Genomic DNA, 21,843 nt, shown 5'->3' with positions numbered 1-21,843 from the left:
TTAAAGAAGATCCCTGTAAGACAAAGTTTTAGGGATGTCTAAAGTGGTGACAAAATCAAATCATAGTCATATGTTTCTATTATTAAATACTTACTTAAAATAAAAATCTATTTGTAGCTAATAAAAAATTATACTTTAATAAGCATATCTACACATAGTATCTTCAAAAGGGTTCCTAGACATGGAATTATTGTGTTAAATGATATACATTTGATTTGTATTATCACTGTATATTCTGGAAATGTTGAAAAAGTAAAAATATCATCTCTTGTATCTACGAAGTGTGACCCCAAAAGTCCCCACTGATACAGGCTCAGTTCTCTGCCAAGCTGTTCCTTAAAGGTGGCAGCCAGCCCTTTCCTTCCCCTGCCCCTTCCCTTTACCTTTCGTGGCTGGCTTATGGCCCATTTCTGAAGAACAGACATGCAACCTTGCACTTTTGTGAAAATCTTTAAGCATTCCCTCATACCCTTTCAATTGTATCACTATATGTGTGTTGTGTTTTAGATATGTGGGTGTGTTACATGCATATTGCTAGTTGCTCATTCGAGTTTATTTTTCCGTTGCACAAGTTGGCCGAGCATCAGTTGCCATGAGAGATTCAGATGAGAAATTCTCACCATCTTCAAGTCACAAACTGCAAGAGAAATTCTTCCGGGGATGGGGACTATCAGGACTGAGGAACATGTCATTTTCCCCAGAAACAGCTCTCATCCTCCTAAGAGATTTGCCTCTTTTTCTTTCTGTTTTTATTTATGAACTCACTTCTGGTAGTTGGAGGAGACTTAACCAGCTCTTTTAGTTTCTTCATCGTTATATTCTTACATCTGCAAGATATTATAGAGTTCAGCTATATGTAATTTGGGGATTGTCCTCTGCAAATAAAGGTGGGGATAGTTGCAAAAGAAGAAAAGATGTTCTAGAACTGGTAGTTGCTATGTGGAGATACTGTAATGAAATAATCTCATGTTACTCTATCAGAGTTCTAACAGTTTATAGGGTGGTACTGACAAAATAATGTGCAGAAAAATGGAATGGAATATGCATTGATGTATCTCTGAATTAAGTATATGCTAATAGAAGAATTACAAACTGACACTGAAGGGATATCTTTACTTAATAAATGGCATGGGGAGAAAGTTATTTCTAGATGAAATCAAGGCTTAAATGAAAAAAATACTGAAGGTGAAGAATTTTGAGTGTAGAATTTTTCAAATAGACTAATATTTAGCTATGAAAGTGAAATATCTTTATTTTCTGATGCTCAGCTCAATGAACCTCAGAAAATTTGCCACACATAAATGACTTTTGAAATTACTCTTGGAGAAAAAATTCTAGCAAAAAAGAGAAATAAATCTAAGAAGAAGTAACATTGTGGAGTTATAGCTTAGCAGTACTATTGTCTTAATAAACAAAAATGATAAACAAACAGATACAAACAAATTAAACAAATGAACCCCATAACATTCTAGAATTAAAATTCCTGGTGATTCTAAAATAATGGGGATAAAAGGAGTGCTGGAGACCAGTGTGGGCTGAGAGTAATTGTCTGGTTCAAGGAAAATATGTACATAGTAATAAATTTAAGAAATTTATAGTTACAAATAAAATCAATTTTAAATTTTAATTAGACAAAAGTGAAAATAGTATGTCTGCTGTTTTACATAGGGTTTAAGATGCCATCAATTGTAAAATGTGCCATCATTTCATTTACCACTATGAAGGACGGATGCCAAACACGACACTATGTGCTTTCTTATCAGTTAGAATATTTATATTCAAAGATTTTTTTAGACATCATCATTTTATGAAAACACAGGAAGAAGAAATAAAGTAAAACCAGATATTATTAAAACTTCTTTACAAGAGTCCAACTCTTCTAAGCTACTTCTTAACTTAGCATCATTGATATTTGTATTTTCCTGCACAAAATAATTCACTGTACCATACAGAGTGATGATGTAGTATTTTTAAAAGAATTTGTAGAAGAAGTAAAACTACTCTGTTCTGCAGGTAGAGGAGGTCTACTTTAGGCTTCGTTTAGGGATGTTGCTACACTTCTCCAGTTCACCACCTCTGTCAACTTCTTTCCCCATATCATTTCATTTCTAGGGGTTAAAAATACTCTACTCTTTAATGTTTTCTCCAGGATTTTCTTCAAACTGCTGACACCAATTCTGTGGGTTTTGATGCTCAAATATTTGATATTTCTACATGTTCAGGAAATGGCAACTGTGTCACAATTACTACCCTGGCCAGTAACGATCATAGAATGCCATAGACTTCAAATCATTCTGGTTTTCAAGACAGTAAACTATAAAACACATACATTTCAGAAGGCATAAATTTTAACTTTCAGTCAACTGAAAACAGTAACCTTCCTAATATGTAAAGTAGGAATGGAAAAAATGAAAAAAAATTAAGATACGGTAATATAGAACACTAAGAATTACACACAAGAAAACCTAAATTATAAGAGTAATATTAATAACTGTGAGTTAAAATATAGAGACACAGGTTGAATTAAAAATAAGATTTAGTGATATGTTGTTTTATTAGTCAAGATTCCCATCAAGGAAAAAACTCAAGATATTTAAAGGAAATTGAATAAAGGTAATTGGTCACACAGATGTTGAATGAGCAAAATGCAGAAGATCATCAGCAGAAGCAAAACAACAATAACAACAACAACAACAAAAGATAGGGTGATACCCAAAGAACAGAAACTTGCTGACAATTCTGGGCTGAAGTCCAGGTTTCTATACCTGCCAATAAATTGATGGAACTGCTGTGACATCCTATTCAGGGTGCACCAAAGAGTTTCCTTTTTGGCCAGGGATAGACCCATAAACTACATTGGTAACAAATACCAATGCTGTCCTCTGTGGCTATGCTGTAGCTCTGTTGCTCTGTCACTGCTGCTGCTGCCCCTGAAGACTGTCACAAACTGAAAACAGGTAAGAGGTATTTCTGCTCTCCTGCACCTTATGAATTTCTATTAGGATTCCCATTAGCAGAACTTGACAGGAAGCCAGTTGGCATGAGATCCTAGGAAACGTCACTTGCAGGCTTTCAGTCCCCTCAACACATAGCAGAATACAGAAACATGGGAATAGGTGCTTAAAACAAACATGCAAATAACTGAAATCACTGTCTACAAGACATACATGTAAAACAGAAGGATATGGAAGTGTTCGTTCATTCAACAAATATTTATGGAAAGCCTTCTAGGTGTTGAGCTCCTCTTCCAGCTGTGATGATACAGCAGACAGCAAAACAGATGAAACATCTGTTTAGTGTATTTTTTTGACCTTTTAACTCAGGGAAGAGAGACAACAAACTACATGAGTAGTTAAATTCAGTCTTTGTTAACACTCGACAAATGCTATGGTGAAAAGTAAAGCAGGGAGAGGGGTAAGGAGGGTAGGGTGTTGCAATTTGATAAAACAGAGGCCTGGAAGTTATCTGAGTAAATCCACACAGAGGGAATTTAGCCAGCACACAGGGAGACAGGAAAAAGCATGGTAGGAGAAGGCAACAAATATATGATGAGGTGACATCATTTGGTCTGAGCAGTGCTGAAAGCTGTCTTTTACTATTTATATAATATTCATACTTTTAAGAACTTGCGTAAGGCACCCCCAGTCTAGTCTTCAGATTAGAACAGATTTCAAGATCACATTGATTTAATGACTTTAGCCTCAGTTTTTTTTTTAACCTTCTAAGGACTTCCTAATAATTATAAATAAGTTAGCATCCACTATAAGTGATTTGTCCTCAAGGACCCTCAAATGGAAATATATCTGACTACCCACACTCTGTGTAGAAACTGCAAGAAACTTTCTATGACACCTGAAAGATTAAACTGTCCCCAGAGTCAATTCACTTCTGAATCTTTCTAGTCATGGAGAGAAGACGTCAGAATGCTTGGCTGCTGTTGCTTAGTGGAAGAGAGAATTAAAGCAATGTCCCCATCAAAACCAAGACATAACACAAGAAAACAAAAATCTCTCTCATTTGGGAATGTGATCATATAATCCCTACTTAGTAAAAATATATGGTTGGCTATAGAACAAAATGAACTATCTGAATTCAAGCCATTGCCTCTTCATGCTTTAATTAGCCTAAGTCCTTCAGAAGGAAGCCCCACTTATTGTTACTGAAGGAAATCAAGAACAAACACAAACTTAGGTAACTACTCACACACATGTGCATGCATATATGACTGAATGTGTTCACATTAATATGAATAAGCATTCATGGGCAGAAAACAAACAAATAAACCAGAGACCTGGAAAGGTCTTGTTGAAAATGTGACATTTAAACAACCATATGAAGGAGGAAAAGTAAATCTGGGTGAAATCTGTGATAATTATTCTGATAATGCACCAAGTAGATATTAAGGTAATAGTATAGTAGGAATAATGAAATAGATAATTTATTGATAAAAGAAATATTAGCTCAAGAAGGTATGATGATCATGCACATAATTTGCAGAATATTAATGCAGCTGAAATGGGCCCAGTTGTCCCATAGAAATTAAGTTATGTTTTCTTTTGAATAAACATAGAAATTGCCCCCCCAGTCTCAAAGCTTGAGAATGTTACATTTGTCTTATATGAGTTCCTTTCTCAGAACACCAACCATCAGTCTTCCCAAATAATGTCAAGGGACTGAAACTTACCAGGTGATTGCATCTGAACAATAAGACACCAGAGCCGTCATCCCTCATGATTGCCTATTCAACCACCTGCTTCCTTTTCACCAACTCCTCTTCCTCACTATTCCCTAATGCTTGTTTTCTCACACATAGTTACATTTCTTCCCCATTATATAAACTCCTAATTTTAATCAGTTGAGGAGATCGATTTGAGACTGATCTCCTATCTTCTGGACTATAACACCCAAAAAAGCCTTCTTCCCTGGCAATGCTTGTTGCCTCAGTGATTGGCTTTCTGTGTGGTGAGGACCAAGATCTAGACCAAACCTCTGGTGTTTCAGTAACACAGCCCTAAAACATGTAACACAACAATGCTCAGGAAAAATAAGTATATCAAAAATTGTGGTTTAAGCTGAGAGATCTAGAAGACAAACCTACTAATATATTAGATTTAGGTAACACATTAAAAAACATGTTAACTGTATGTAGAAATATATACCCAACAACAATAAATATTCTTTTAGTCAATTCATGGGAGATACAATAGACAAGGCCACAACAGAAGCATTAATAAATCCTAAAGAATTGGCGTTGCATTATGACTATGTTCTTTGGCCGTAATTCAATGCAGTGAGAAATTCATAACAAAAGGACAGCTTTAAAAAAATCCCTTATATTTGGAACCTATGATAAATATTTCTTTTATTATAGAGGAACTCTTAGGAAATTATGAAGTACTGAATGAAGTAAAAACACTACATATTGATATTTGTAAGACTCAATCAAAGTGTTACAGGTAATTAGACAGGCATGAGTGGGGCAGGCATTCCCCTACCCACTAGGAATGTCAGGTGGTGGTTTGGCAATTATCACATTGCCTCCCTAAAAGTTATAAATTGGCAGCTAGCATGAGGGAGAGGCCATTCAGTTGCACTGAAGTGTTAATTGAATGCAGAAGCCAGGGAGATGCAACTTCCTGAATATGTGCATGAAGAGACAAAATGGCAGAATATGACCTTCTGGGGGCACACTGCTAGAAAAGGGAAGAAAGCCTCAGGTGGGCATGCATACAGCTTCCTAAACACATTAAGCATGCTTACTTCCCAAGGACAAGGAATCCTGACCACATCTAAAGGCCATCAATAAGAGGTTACAATGGTATTGGTTAAGGAAAATCTTGCTTTTACCTCTCTCCATCTACCTTCTTTCCCTCATCACTGGAAGAGCCAGTGGTAAAAGTTAAAGAAAAAGGTTCTGAAGAAGAGAAGAAACTAAGTCAGACCTTAGCTAGGTGAAGCAGCAAGTTTCAAATGAAACGAGAGACTTGGACTTGACTTTAACTCTTAATATGTGAGTATGACAAGAAAGAAAATACAAAACTTCATTTAGAACAGTGAAAAAATATTCAGAAGATTGCATAAAGGCAATGGTCAAGAAAAAATCAAGTTTCGTTTTTGTGCCTTGCCAGGTGCAACTTACTCAATAAACCAAATATAACTACATGAAATGATTATACTTACTAAAAAAAATCTTACATGTTGTAGTATGTGTCAGAATTTCAACCCATTTTAAGGCTGAATAATACATTGTATACATATACTATATTTTGTTTAACCATTTCTTCTCTGATGGACATTTGGGTTGCTTCCCCCTCTTGGATATTGTGAATAATGCTGTGAGCAAATGGATGCACAAATATCTCTTCATGACCCTGCTTTCAATTCTTTTGAATATATAACCAGAAATGAAATTACTGGATCATATGGTAATCCTATTTTTAATTTTTGAGAAACTGTCATACTGCTTTCTATAGCAGCCGTACTGTTTTACATTCTTACCAACAGTATAGAGGGTTTCCAGTTTCTCCACATTCTTCCTAACACTTGTTATTTTCTATTTTATTTTTAATAGTAGTCATCCTAAAAGATGTGAGTTTATAGTTAATTGTGGTTTTGATTTGCATTTCCCTAATGATTAGTGATGTTGAGCATCTTTCCATATGCTCCTTGGCCATAAAATGTTTCTGATTATCAAAGTCCTTAAGAACAAATATTTCTCCCTATATATCATTTAAAAAAGAAGATGTCTTATTGTTGCTATAAAATATATTACACAACAATAAGGATAACATTAGCATCTCAAAATAAACAGAATTCACATAAAAAGAACTCAAGATAGTCATTAAAAAGACTTCAGGCCAGGTGTGGTGGCTCACACCTGTAATCCTAGCACTTTGGGATGCCAAGGCGGGTGGATCACAAGGTCGGGAGTTCGAGACCAGCCTGGCCAATATGGTGAAACCCTGTCTCTACTAAAAATACAAAGATTACCCAGGCGTGGTGGTGTGCGCCTGTAGTCCCAGCTACTCAGAGACTGAGGCAGGAGAATGGCTTGAACCCGGGAGGTGGAGGTTGCAGTGAGCCGAGATCATGCCACTGCGCTCCAGCCTGGGTGACGGAGAGAGACTCTGGCTCAAACAAACAAACAAAAAAATGCCAGTTATTTTAATATAAATGTAAATATAATTTAAAGCATCAAGTCTTTAAAAATATCAAATTCACAAAAATTAAAAAAATATTAATATTTAATATAACTGAGGGCTTATTGAGACATTCATATTCTTAAAATGATGCCATTGTTTTGATCCTTCTGGAATGAAGTTATCTGTCTATTCATCTGTCTCTCTCTCCTGCATATATCACATCTATCTTAAATTTATAAAAATAAAATATTTTTTGACCCTTTAATAAAGTCATGATAAAATACAAATCATGAAGAAAAAATGCATAAATTTAACTCTATCAAAATAGAAAATTCTAAAGACCGTCAGCAAAATTAAGACAAGAAATAGACCAGTAGAAGGTTTTTGTAACAGAGATAACAAATGATAAATGTCTAAGATAAATAATTTCCATACAATAATATGAAAAAGACAAATAAACCCATAGAATATAAGTCAAGTCTTTGAATGGCTAATAAATATGTGTATAAGATCTCTAGATTTATTAATAATAACTTACAAAGTAAATTACAGTGTAATATCTTTCTGTTGCATCAGCTTGATAAAAATATTATGACTATACCTAGCATTGGCAAGGAGAAAAGAAAACTATTGTTCATTGATGATGAGAGTATTAATGAGAACAAACTGTTAAAACTACTGTGGCAGTATGTATTACATTTGCATATTCGCGTATATTAGTTCCAAAAATTCAATTTTAGGTGTGTAATATTATGGAACAAGGCTGCAGATTAAAAATTCCACTTTAAAAAATAATAATTGAAATCCAGGGAGGAGAGTGACTCATAGCTTGAGCTAGTGATGACCATAACCCGTTTTTTTTGCACATCAAAATTAGAAGCTATATAAAAATGACTGAGTAAATTCAAGGTATTTCTTCCTTCTCCCTACATGCACATACATGAATTCAGGAAGTCCTTGGTAGTCAGCAGGATAGGGAAGGTATATACTGGAAACAAACTTTGAAAGAGAAAGTTGAAGATACACATTTGAAAAGGTCAATCATATAGATGTGTAAACAAGGTGACTCACAATATTTATTCAGAACGAAAGTGAATGTGATATTGAGAAACTGTGAAGAGGTTAGAGGTAGTTGTTTACCAGAGCAAAACATTACTGTTAGCTGAGTAGTTAACTGAATAACTGACACACATTTCTTTTGATTGTGTTGTGGCTGACTTTGCCATGATGCCCTTCTGGTACTCTACACAGGATGACAAAACAATCGTTTTCAATGTGGTAAAATCTGTACTAGTAATAAGAAAAAAATAAAAACAATCCCAAATATCCGTCAACAAGTGAACAGAGGAATAAATTTTAGACAATTCATATAATGGAATATTATACAATATATAGAATGAACTAGAGCTTAGCAAATAGAGACCAATGCTTGAGTGTGGAATGGAAGTTTTTGTTACCAGACAGGGCCCAATCCAGCACAGCATCTAAATATTGATGAATGAGGTGTCAGGGAAGAAAAATGTGGTAGGTCTCTTAAAGTTGAGAAACAAATCAAACCATCTCTGCCTCATATTACGAAAGCGCAGCCTCAGACTGCAGTTGATCAGCGGGGAATAACTATGATGGTTCGGAAGGTTTCAGGTGGCAAATATCACTTCAGTTCTTTCTTCAGGATTTCAGCATCTGGCTATCTTTGTTGTGCAGGTAAGTTTCTTAGTTTGGAATTATAATACCCAGATATCTTTTAGTAAAGTTGGTGTGCCCTGCTGTCAGCATACTGGACAACCAGGTTAAGAGCAAGTAGCAACGTGGGCAGATCTCAGAGATGATAGTAAATGCAAAAAGCATATTGCTGAACCATTGAGCAGTCAGAATTATTTATGTAAATTATGTACATTTTAAAACACACTAAGGGGTTTATATTTTGTTATTTTGAGCATATTTAAGAAGAATATTCTTGGGATGATTATTAGCTGCTTATAGATTGTGTTTGCTTGATTATCCTAGACACTGAAATCGGAAAAGAAAATGCCGAGCACATTTGGCTAAATGGGTTTACTTACCATTCCATCAAAACTAAAATAAATGATATCTGGCTATAAAAATAAAAATAGCTACTTTTCTCTTACAGCAGCTATGAGCTGGAACCACCAGGCATAGCTCCTTGGATAATGTGTGGAGTCAGGGGTTTGGAATTTTAGAGTAGTAAAATATTGTCCTTATATGCCTTACCAATACCTTCTGAATTGACAGTGTAGAATTGGTAGCTCTCACCTTCCTTTCAGTGTTTTCACAGACTACAGAGTAGTCAGTGCAGACTAATAAAGACATGAAGCTCTATGTGAGAGCCAGGCAAACTTCTCTAGAGGAGCCATTGTCTTTCAGGGATTTCTTGGGCAAGCTCCAGACATCAATATTTCCTTTTCATCTAATGGCAATAATTCAAAGACCGGGGAAATCACTTAAATATTTATAGGAGCTACCTGCCCATGCTCATGCCTGGGCTGTCATCAGACTTAAGGAAAGGCACGAGCCCTGTCATCAAAGGCAGGTACTTCCAAAGAAAAAACAGCACACACTCTGATATATCTTTAACGGAAAAACAAATCATACTTCTACGGAAAGTGTTGGCGTTGATGTGATGGAATGTTGAAATTTATTCATAGATGTGAAAATTCTTCCATGTCAGAAAAAAATGACACTGAGCTTGGCCAAGCTTCACATTAAATCTGTACCCTTGACTTCCCTCACTAATTAGTCTTTCCACCTAGAAAGCCACTGGAACAAGGTCCTCAGATCGGCATCGCTGTAGCTGCTTGAGCCTCACCAGGTGGTCAGATCATAGGCAGCTATTTTCCTCGCTGTAACCAAACCTACAAACCTCTGGCACAGCAATTCAACTGCAGAAAATGTGCCCCGTTGCTGTTTTGAAAGATTCTTCTCTTTGTCTTCTAATAACTCAGGCTCTATTTTCCCGTTATTTATTTTGTCTTTAGATTTAATCAGGATTGTCAAAGGTTTTTATTTTTACAGCCAGACATCATACATTCTGTGACAAGCTCTTCAATGGACCATTTGAGCTTATGTGACCTGCTTTCTGTTTCTTTTTCATCCTTCTAACTTTTATAACTCATGTCCGACTTTCAGCTACTTTAGCAGTGCTATTTAGAACAGGATTCAACACATTTCCACATTGTTTGCCAGTAGGCTTTTAAACTGGGCCTTTTAAAATATGCTTTTGAGTCAGAGTTTTACTAGAATGCAATAATTATTCTTTCATCCTTGCTGCATTTTTATATTGGTGAGTAAATAAAGCAATAACCATACAGAATGTTTATTAGTGATATAATTACCTATTGCCAATAGCCAAACACCTGGTGAAAGCCACAAATTCCCCAAATGTATGTTAATTTACTTAATAGATGTGCCAGTTCATAGATGTATTAAATAAACACTAGCTTTTTGATTGGTTGATTCAGGCTATATTTGTTTGCACATATGTTTGTCCGAAAACTTTCCTAGTCAATTTAGTCAGCCAACCAATTAGGTCAGTTCGCAAAACTGCCAACTGATATGATTGCATATTTTGACTCATTGTATTGTCAAATTCATGCTATTAAAACAATAGGCTTTTTACTTATATTTGTCTTCCCCACCACACTAATAGCTCCATACTTAATTCGATCATGGCTAGATGTCTTTGGAGCTATTCAGTCCTCCTCCAACTTGATTCTGAGCAATTGAAAAACAATCATTATAATTAATTCTAAATCTTCTTGTCATTTCACCATCTCATACTTCATATTATCTCTTTCTTAGTGCAATTGTTTCTGTATCTATTTTATGGAGTTTAACATTTCTGTCTTCAGATTCAGGTCCTAATCAATCTCCTGCAGAAGACTTAAAAACTTTTGCCTTCATTTGTAATGATCTATGCGCTTTAGACTTACTCATTCACAGATTAAAACCTTTTTTTTTTATTGTGGTCAGATTTTCATATTTCTAACACCTTGATTTCTGCATTTAGCATTCTTTTGTCCTTTCTTTCATTTAATTAACTGAGTTAATTAATTCGATTTTAATAGTTACTTCTTCCTTGTGTCCAATATTATGTTAAATAAGTGAAAGAAATGAAAAAGACAATTCTTTTCCTTGTGGAGTTTGTGCTCTGGTTAGAAAGAGATGTGGGAAAAAACAAAACAAAACAAAACAACCACCCACACAGATAATAGTAAAAACTATCAAAGCAGAATCCCAGAGGGCAGGCAGAGGGGCAATGTGCCAAGATGGTCAAGAACAATGGCTCTCACATCAGACTGTCTGCTCCTGTAATGACGTCACCACTTGGAAATCATGTGGCTGTGAAGGAAATTCCTTTCCTTTTTCAGGCCTCAGATTCCTTTTATTTTAATTTAGGATACCTATAGGACTTACTTCATTGACTTGTCGTGAGAAGGTAATGAAATGATACATATTCAATACTTAGGCTAATTCCTGACACATAAAACGCAGTTGATACATGGTGTTGTTATTAAAATATGATTATTGTTACTAGCTGCCCCAACTTCAGAAGGTAGAGAAAAAAGAGGATTTGGCATAACTGGCAGACTGCCATTTGGGTAAATGAGAATAAGGCTGTGAGCTATGAGATGTGGTTTGTTTTCTGGATCTGCCACTAAAAACCGGTAGTCCCTCCACCTTTCAAAACTCAAAATTGTTTTAAGTGACATTGTTACTGACCACAGGTTCTTGGGCTCTCCATTCAACAGAAATTGACACAGGCCAAAAGAGTTTTCCAAATAAGACTTAATTGGAGTTTACGCCCAGACATAAGGGAGGCAGTGTGAGAGAGAGAGAGAGAGAGAGAGACAGAGAATTCCTTGACTGAGTCCCTAAAAAGAGCTGGAGGTAGGGTTTTTTTTTTTTTTTTTTTCCAAAGCGTGGGAATTGACATCAGGGGTAGGGTGTGCACATTGAGCTGGTCAAAGCACGTGAGGGGTGAGGTATGTGGGTCAGAATTATTTGGTTGTGATGGTTATCTTGAGTAATGGGCCACCTGATGGTCTAGTCTGTGGGCAAAAAGGCTATAAATCAATTGTTCAGCATTCCTGCCTGAAGTGGGACACTCTGCAACCTTGGTTGTCTCTTGAGGCCACTTCCTGGAATTCTTTGAGTAAAAGGCATGGTTAAACATTATGGCATTAGTGAGGTAGTGGTGTGAGTTTTGTGATCAGCGGGAATGCATGAAAGAATGCTCCAGTGGGGATGAGTTGCAACCAAGTCCTCTTCCTACTCTGTCTCAAAATGAACAGATTTAAATAGTTTTTCTCCCCTACCAAATTCAGGTTAGGTTAGACCTTTAAAACCATGCTCTCACAGATTTCAGTATTTATTATTATTATTTGAGACACAGTCTCGTTCTGTCACTCAGGCTGGAGTGCGGTGGTGTGTGATCTCTGCTCACTGCAACCTCTGCTTCCCGGGTTCAAGCAATTCTCCTGCCTCAGCCACCCGAGTAGCTGGGATTACAGATGCCTGCCACCATGTCTGGCTAATGTTTATATTTTTATTAGAGATGGAGTTTTGCCATGTTGCCCAGGCTAGCCTTGAACTCCTGGCCTCAAGTGATCCACCTGCCTCAGCCTCCCAAAGTGCTAGGATTACAAGTGTGAGCCACTGCATCCAACTGTATTATTTGTATTATAATGTTACTAATATTATTTAGATAAGTACAATCATTAAGCAATATAAATCTTTAATACTTATAAAACTATAAAATGAAAATCAAAGCAAATATCCCTATTTGGGGCCTGATTTGTTTTGATTTGCCTTGATTTAATTTTATTTGAGTCTACAGAGTGCAAATAGATGGCTTCATTCTATTTTTCCTGTTGCCTTTATTATAAACAGACCACGTGGGATTTTTTTGCTCACTCCTTTGATGGCACAGTGGGCCTAATTTTTTCAGTCACTTTCAGGTGTTGAAATAATTTCATTTTTTAGCTACTAGAAAATCCATTGTGACCTTAATCATATAACCAAAGATAACATCACAGTAACGGGACAAAATGAAATCGTGTGCCACAGTTACAGTAGGTAGCTAGTCAGACATGAGCAGAGCTGGAGAGGGCTCCCCTACCCTCTGCCACCAGGAATGTTAGGCAGCCATCAGGTGATGGGCAGGCAGTTGTTACACTGTTTCTGTAAAATAATAATTGGTCGCAGCCTGCACCAGGGAAAGGAAATCTCCCAATAGATAGAAAAAACCTGAAAGTGGTGATCAGCAGTTTCCCAATAAGATCTCATGATCCGGGCAAGTGGGCTCAAACATGTGATTAAGAGGCGAAATGGCAGAGTTTAACTGGTATATGACCTTCTAGGGACATTTGACTGGTAAGGAAAGACACCTCAAGTGAGCATGTGTACAACTCCAGTAAACACACTGTGCTTGCGGCCCCTTCCAAGTGCTGGCAGGCCACTGTGCATGCAGACAGTCCACTCCACAAGGAAAGAATCAAGGAAGAAGGAGCACAAGACCTGGAAGCATGCCAGCATATAAAACCCCAAGTCAAAAAGTCAAGCCATGCACTTGATCTCTCAAGTTACCCACTTGGTCCTCTTCCAGGTGTATTTTACTTCCTTTCATTCCTGCTCTAAAGTTTTCATTAATCTTTCACTTCTGCTCTAACACTTGCCTCTGTCTCTCCTTATGCCTTATGCCATTCAGTTGAATTCTTTCTTCTGAGGAGGCAAGTATTGAGGTTGCTGCAGACCCATATAGATTCATCGCTGGTAACACCACCTTAGGCAGACTGAGAAAAACATAGTGTGTCTTCCATGATATTCTTGCCAAAGATACAGAACTTGAATCATATCACCAGGAAGCATGAGACAAATCCAAATTGTCAGGCAATCTATAGAACAACTGACCTATAATTTTCAAAAGAATTAGGATGTGGGAGTCAAGGTAGACTAAGAAACTCTTCCAGATTGAAGGGAATTAGAGAAACATGACAGCTAAATGCAATTTGCATTCCTGGATTAAATCTTTTTGCTATAAAGGATGTTATGAGGACAACTGCAAAAATTAAGTGGAATGTGAGGATTTGATGCTAGCAATGTGTCAGTATTAGTTTTCTGATTTTGATGGCTGCCTTATAGTTATGTATAAAAAGTCCTTGTTTCTAAAAATAGCATGCTGAAGTATTAAAAGGTGATGACATTGCATTAACACTTTACTTTCAAATAATTTAGGAAAAAAATGACTTGTACTTGCAACTTTTCTGTAATTTTGAAATTAAACTATTTAAAATTATTTAATATGTTTTTCAATGGGTCTGAAAGGAAATATACGTACCTATGTATAAATCCAATTCACAGCTAAATAAAAACTCCAGTGTCTTACTTAATATTTTGCTTCCTTCTCTAGTTTAATCCTGAACTGTAATACTGTAAACCCCATAGAGAAGGCAATGCATTCTGTGCTATCTTTCCCTGCTTCATAGCCTGATCCTCACCTCCGCTGCTCCTATTTCTTCTGGGTCTGGGACATCGGAAAAAGTATTTAGGAGGAAAGGACAGCCTTACCTGACTGGTTCTCTTGAAATCTGATCATAGACGCCATCTGTTATGGCAGAAACCACATTTTAAAAATTTCCCCTGTGGGTCACTTTATAAACCTTTGGGGATATACCACAGAGACCTACACAGTAGCATTCCCTGATGCTGATAATGTGTGCTCCAAAGAAGCCCAAACCACACTTTTAGGAACTACACCTCTGGAGTGGTTTTTAGCAGGATTTATTCAATGTCATCCTAACTTCTAAGTCTCCACTGAATCCTGGGAAAATTCACCACCTTTACGCTGTCAAATGCGGACCACTGTAATCTCAGCTACTCTGGAGACTGAGACATGAGAATCACTTGAACCGGGGAGGCAGAGGTGGTGGTGAGCCGAGATCATGCCACTGTACTCCAGCCTGGATGACACAGACAGACTCTGTCTCAAAAAAAAAAAAAAAAAAAAAAAAAAGTTAGAGGAAAAGTGGAGAGGGAACAGGGAGGATATGGTAATTCACATATTGCAAGAGAAAAAGAGCAGGTAGGGAACAGTCAATTATGTATTTGTCTCATATTTTACATAAGATCTGGAAATATTTAACTTTTATCTATAGCTATTTAACTTGTGGAAATATTTAACCTTTTATCTATAGCTATCTGCTTAGGAACAAAAGGAAAGGCAGCTTCTTTCATGACTCAGCTTTCACCTTAATATTTTTATTTTGGCATAGTGAATTGGGGTCCCAAGTTTTTATTTTACTTTCACAAGGTCAATATTGCATTCTGGAAAATATTGCTACCATTATCACAATGAAACTCTATCACTCTCCTGTTATTTTTTAACTCTATGATTCCATTTATTTGACAATATTATGCAGGCAAAACAACAAAGACAGAAAACAGATCAGTGGTTGTCAGAGTGTAGGGATTAGAGGAGAGGTTGACCACAAAGAAGCATGGAGAAGTTTTTGGGACTGATGGGACTATTCTGGTTACACAACTGTGTATGTTAATAAAACTCACAGAACTGTACACTAAAAGGAAAAATTTTATTATATATAATTGAACCTTAGTTTCTAAAATGAAAAAGAAAATCAACCAATTCAAAAAAGGGGGAGATTTAGAATGTATAATGAGTAATTAATTTAAATACCAAATGCTGGGCAATACAAACTTCCACCTATGTTTCCCCTAGAAAATATCAAATGAATTCTATGTTGAACATTATGGTTTTTAAAATGGTTCTCTTTAAAGGGGACCTGCAAATAAATTTTGAGTGCTATCTTTAGTCTGGTGCAAGGAAAAAGAGAGGCTGACCATAGGGGACAGCCAATATATAGACAATGTAGTTCATTTTAAAATGCAAATTAAAATGTATTGTCATTTCTCCACTAGCATACTGGCAATTTCAATATTATCTGTACAGTAAGACTGAGCCAAAAGACAATGGATTGATATTTTCAAAATTTAGAGGAAATTGTTTTCCACCTGAAATTTTTAAATAGTATGTTTTTATTTCAATAGCTTTTGGGGTACAAGTGGTTTTTGCATACACGGATGAATTGTTTAGTGGTGAAGTCTGAGATTTTAGTGTACCTGTCACCAAAATAATGTACATTATGCCCACTATGTAGTGTTTTATCCCTCACTGCCCCTCACAGTCTCCCTCTTCTGAGTCTCCATAGCCCATTATATCACTCTGTATGCCTTCGTGTTTCCACAGGTTAGCTCCCACTTGTAAGTGAGAACATATGGTATTAGCTTTCCATTCCTGGGTTACTTCACTTAGAATAATGGCCTCCAGCTCCATCCATCCAAGTTGCTGCAAAATACACTATTTCATTCTTTTTTAATGGCTGAGTAGTATTCCATGGTGTATATATACCACATTGTCTTTAACCACTCTTTGGTCAATGGTCATTTAGGTTGGTTCTATATGTTTGCTACTATGAATTGTGCTGCAGTAAACATACATGTGCAGATGCCTTTTTGGTGTAATGCCTTTTCCTTTGGGTAGATACCCAACAGTGGGATTGTTGCATTGGATAGTAGATTTACTTTTAGTTCTTTAAGAAATCTCTATACGGTTTTCCATGGAGGTTGTACTAACTTACATTCCCACCAGCAGTGTATAAGTGTTCCCTTTTCACCACACCATGCCAATGTCTATTGTTTTTTGACTTTTTAACAATGGCCAGTCCTGAAGGAGTAAGGTGGTATTGCATTGTCATTTTAATTTGCATTTCCCTAATGATTAGTGATGTTGAGCATTTTTCATATGTTTGTTGGACATTTGTGTATCTTTTTTTGAGACATGTCTCTTCATGTCCTTTGCCCACTTTTTGATGGGATTTTTTTTCTTGCTGATTTGTTTGAGTTACTTGTACATTCTGGATATTCGTCCTTTGTTGGATTCATAGTTTGCAAATTTTTTTCTCCTTACTGTGCTTTGTCTGTTTACTCTGAGATTATTTGTTTTGCTTGTACAGAATTTTTTAGTTTTATTAGGTCCTATTTATTTATTTTTGTTATTGTTGCATTTGCTTTTGGAGGTCTTAATCATTAATTATTTGCCTATGCCAATGTCCAGAAGATTTTTTTTCTAGGTTATCTTCTAGGGTTTGTATGGTTTCAGGTCACAGATTTAAGTCTTTGATCCATCTTGAGTTTATCTTTATGTAAGGTGAGAGACAAGGATCCAGTTTCATTCTTCTACATGTGGCTAGCCAATTTTCCCAGCACAATTTATTAAATAAAGTGTACTGTCCCCACTTTTTTTGTTTGCTTTGTTGGGGATCAGTTGGTTATAAGTATTTGGATTTATTTCTGAGTTCCCTATTTTGTTCCATTGATCGGTGTGTCTACTTTCATACCATTACCATGCTGCTTTGGTAACTATAGCCTTGTAGTATAATTTGAAGTCCAGCAATGTGATGCCTCTGAATTTGTTCCTTTTGTGTAGGGTTGCTTTGGCTATTTGGGTGTTTTTTTTTTGGTTCTATATGAATTTTATAATTGTTTTCTCTAATTCTGTGAAATATGATACTGGTATTTTGAAAGGAATGGCATTAAATCTGTGGATTGCTTTGGGCAATATGGTCATTTTCACAATATTGATTCTTCCAATCCCTGAATGTGGGATGTGTTTCCATTTGTTTGTGTCAGCTATGATTTATTTTAGCAGTGTTTTGTAGTTCTTCTTGTATAGATTTTTCATCTCCTTGTAAAAGGGTATTTTATTCTTTTGCAGCTGTTGTAAAAGGGATTGAGTTCTTAATTTGATTCTCATCTTTGTCATTGTTGGTGTTTAGCAGTGGTACTGATTTGTGTATATTAATTCTGTAACCTGAGACTTTACTAAATTTGTTTATCAAATCTAGGAGTCTTTTGGATGAGTCTTTAGGGTTTACCAGGTACATAATCATATCACTGGTGAACAGTGCTAATTTTTGACTCCCCCTTTTTCAATTTAAATGTACTTTCTTGCTTTACCTAAGACTTTCAGTACTATGCTGAATAGAAGTGGTGAAAGTGGGCATCTTTGTCTCGTTCCGGTTCTCAGAGGAAATGCTTTCAACTTTTCCCTACTCAGTATAACGTAGGCTGTGGGTTTGCCATATGTAGATTTTATTATTTTGAGGTAAGTGCCTTCTATGCCTAGTTTGTTGAGTGTTTGTATCATAAAGAAATGCTGAATTTTATAGAATGCCTTTCTGCATAGATTGAAATTATCATATGGTTTTTGTTTTTTAATTCTTTTTATGTGATGTGCTACATTTATTGACTTACATATGTCAGACCATCCCTACATTCCTGGGATGAAACCTACTTGATCATGGTATATTATCTTTTTGAGGCACTGTTGAATTCAGTTAGCTAGTATTTTATTGAGCATTTTTGTATATATGTTCATCAGGGATGTTGGTCTGTCATTTTCTTTTGTTGTTATGTGCTTTTCTGGTTTTGGTATCAGGTTGATACCGACTTCATAGAATGAGTTATGGAGGACTCCCTCTTTCTCCATCATTTGGAATAGTTTCAGTAGAATTGGCACCAATTATTCTTTGGGTGTCTGGAAGAATTCAGCTTTGAATCTAGCTGGCCCTGGGCTTTGTTTTGTTGTTGGTAATTTTTAAATTACTGATGCAATCTCACTGCTTGTTATTGTTCTGTTCAGAGTTTCTATTTATTCCTGATTTAATCTAGGTGGGTTGTATATTTCCAGGAAGTTATCCATTTCCTCTAAATGTTCTAGTTTGTGTGCATAGAGGTGTTGATAGTAGTCTCAAATGATGTTTTGTCTTTGTGTGTTGTTGCTTGTAGTGTCTCCATTTGCATTTCCAATTGAGATTACTTGAATCTTCTATCTTTTCTTGGTTAACCTTGGCTAATGGTCTATCAAATTTGTTCATCTTTTCAAAGAACCAGCTTTTTGTTTAATTTATCATCTGATCTTCTCTATTTTTCTTTGTTTCAATTTTATTTAGTTCTGCTCTGATCTTTTTTTTTCTTCTTCTGCTAGCTTTGGGTCCAGTTTATTGTTGTTCCTCTAGTTCCTTGAAGAGTGGCATTAGGTTGTTTACTTGTGACTTTTCAGACTTTTTAAAACTTTCAATAGTTTTTTGAGAACAGTGGGTTTTTGATTACATGAATAAGTTCTTTAGTGGTGATTTCTGAGGTTTTGGTATACCCATCACCCATACAGTGTACACTGTGTCCAATATATAGTCTTTTATCCCTCATCCCCCTCCCAAATTCTCTCTGAGTCCCCAAAGTCAATTTTATCATTCTTATGCCTTTGTATCCTCATAGCTTAACTCCCACTTATGAGTGAGAACATATACCATTGCTATTTGGTTTTTCATTCCTGAGTTACTTAACTTAGAATGATCATCTCCAAATCCATCCAAGTTGCTGCAATTGCCATTACATCATTCCTTATTATGGCTGAGTAGTATTCCATGGTGTGTATATACCACATTTTCTTTATTCATTCATTGGCTGATGGACATTTATGCTGCTTTCATGTTTTTGCAATTGCAAATTGTGCTGCTATAAACATGTGTATGCAAGAGTCTTTTTCATATAATGACTTCTTTTTTTGTGGGGTAGATACCCAGTAGTGGGACTGATGGATTAAAAGGTGGTTCTACTTTTAGTTCTTTAAGGAATCTGCATACTGTTTCCCATAGTGGTTGCACTAGTTTGCATTCCCACCAGCAGTGTAAAATTGTTTCTTTTCTTACCACATCCACACTGACATCTATTTTTTTTTAAATTATGGCCATTTTTGCAAGAATAAGTTGGTATCTCATTGTGGTTTTAATTTGCATTTCCCTGATAATTAGTGATGTTGAGCAGTTTTTCATATGTTTGTTGGCCATTTGTATATCTTCTTTTGAGAATTATCTATTCATATCTTTTGTCCACTTTTTGATTGGATTTTTTTCCTTGATTGTCTTTTCCTTGATTTTCCTGATTTGTCTGAATTACTTATAGATACAGGATATTAGTCCTTTGTCAGATGCATAGTTTCTCAATATTTTCTCCCAGTCTGTGGGTTGTCTGTTTACTCTGCTGATTATTTCTTTTACTGTGCAGAAGATTTTTAGTTTAATTTGGTCTCATCTATTTAGTTTTGTTTTTGTTGCATTTCCTTTTGGGCTCTTGGCCATGAACTCTTTGCCTAAGCTAAAGTCTAGAAGAGTTTTTCTAATGTTATTTTCTAGAGTTGTTATGGTTTCAGGTGTTAGATGTAAGTCTGTGATCCATCTGAAGTTGATTTTTGTGTAAGGTGAGAGATGAGGATCCAGTTTCATTCTTCTACATGTGGCTTGCCAATTATCCTAACATCATTTATTGAATAGGGTACCCTTTCTCCAATTTCTAATTTTGTTTGCTTTGTCAAAGATCAGTTGGCTGTATTTGGCTTTATCTATAGGTTCTCAAATCTGTTCCATTTGTCTATGTGCCTATTGTTATACCAGTGCCATCCCATTTTGATAACTATAGTCTTGTAGCATAGTTTGAAGTCAGGCAATGTGATGCCTCCAGATTTGTTCTTTTTGATTATTCTTGCTTTGGCTATGCAGGCTCTTTATTGGTTTCATATAAATTTTAGGACTGTTTTATCTAATTCTGTGAAGAATGGTGATAACATTTTGATGGGAATTGCATTGAATCTGTAGGTTGCTCTGGGCAATATGCTCATTTTCACAATATTGATTCTACCCATCCATGAGCATGGAATATGTTTCCCTTTGTTTGTTTCATCAGTCATTTCTTTCAGCAGTGTGTTGTAGTTTTCCTTGTAGAAATTTTTAACCTCCTTGGTTATGTTATTCCTATGTATTTTATTTTATTTTTTGCTGCTGTTGTAAAAGAGATTGAGTTCTTGATTCAACTCCAAGCTTCATTATCGTTGGTATAGAGCAATGCTACTGACTTGCGTATATTGATTTTGCATACTGAGACTTTATTAAATTTGTTTATCAGATCCAGGAGCTTTCTGGGTGAGTCTTTTGGGTTTTCTAAGCCTATGATTGTATCATTGGTGAACAACAATGGTTTGACTTCCTCTTTACCAATTTGGATGCCCTTCACTTCTTTCTCATGTCTGATAGCTCTGGCTAGGACTTTCAGTATTATGTTGAATAGAAGTCATGAAGGTGGGCAACCTTGCCTTATTCCAGTTCTTGGGGGGAATGATTTCAACTTTTCCCCATCCAGTACAATTTTGGCTGTGGGTTTGTCATAGATAGCTTTTATTACCTTGAGGTGTTTCACTTCTATGCCAGTTTTGTGAGGGTTTTAATCTTAAAGGGATACTGGATTTTGTCAAATGCTTTTCTGCGTCTACTGACATGATAATATAATTGTTATTTTTAATTTTGTTTATGTGATGTATCATATTTATTGATGAGTATGTTAAATCATCCCTGCCTCCCTGGTATGAAGCCCACTTGGTCCTGATGTATAATTTTTTTTGATATGCTCTTGGATTTGGTTAGCTATTATTTTGTTGAGAATTTTTGCATCTATGTTCATCAGGGTGTTGGTCTGTGGTTTCCTTTTTTTATTATGTCCTTTCCTGGTTTTGATATTAGGATGATACTGGGTTCACAGAATGATTCAGATAGGA

The 21,843-nt window shown here is 36.0% G+C and overlaps 1 long non-coding RNA gene across 1 annotated transcript in view, besides 1 other annotated feature; it reads left to right on the top strand.

The window, feature by feature from the left end:
- Positions 1-21,843, top strand: part of UFL1-AS1 (UFL1 antisense RNA 1) — a 321,372-nt gene that overhangs the window by 208,288 nt on the left and 91,241 nt on the right. The gene's annotated exons all lie outside the window — the stretch shown is intronic.
- Positions 8,198-8,247: an enhancer, noted in NCBI's record as "active region_24840". NCBI's record gives its function as "activates an Ori minimal core promoter by ATAC-STARR-seq in GM12878 lymphoblastoid cells {active_cell/tissue: GM12878}" and the evidence as "EXISTENCE:reporter gene assay evidence [ECO:0000049][PMID:35858748]".

This window comes from Homo sapiens, chromosome 6, assembly GCF_000001405.40.
Source record: "Homo sapiens chromosome 6, GRCh38.p14 Primary Assembly".
Taxonomy (NCBI): Eukaryota; Metazoa; Chordata; class Mammalia; order Primates; family Hominidae; genus Homo; species Homo sapiens.
The sequence above is the reverse complement of the archived record's forward strand: the minus strand, read 5'-3'. Positions and strand labels throughout refer to the sequence as shown.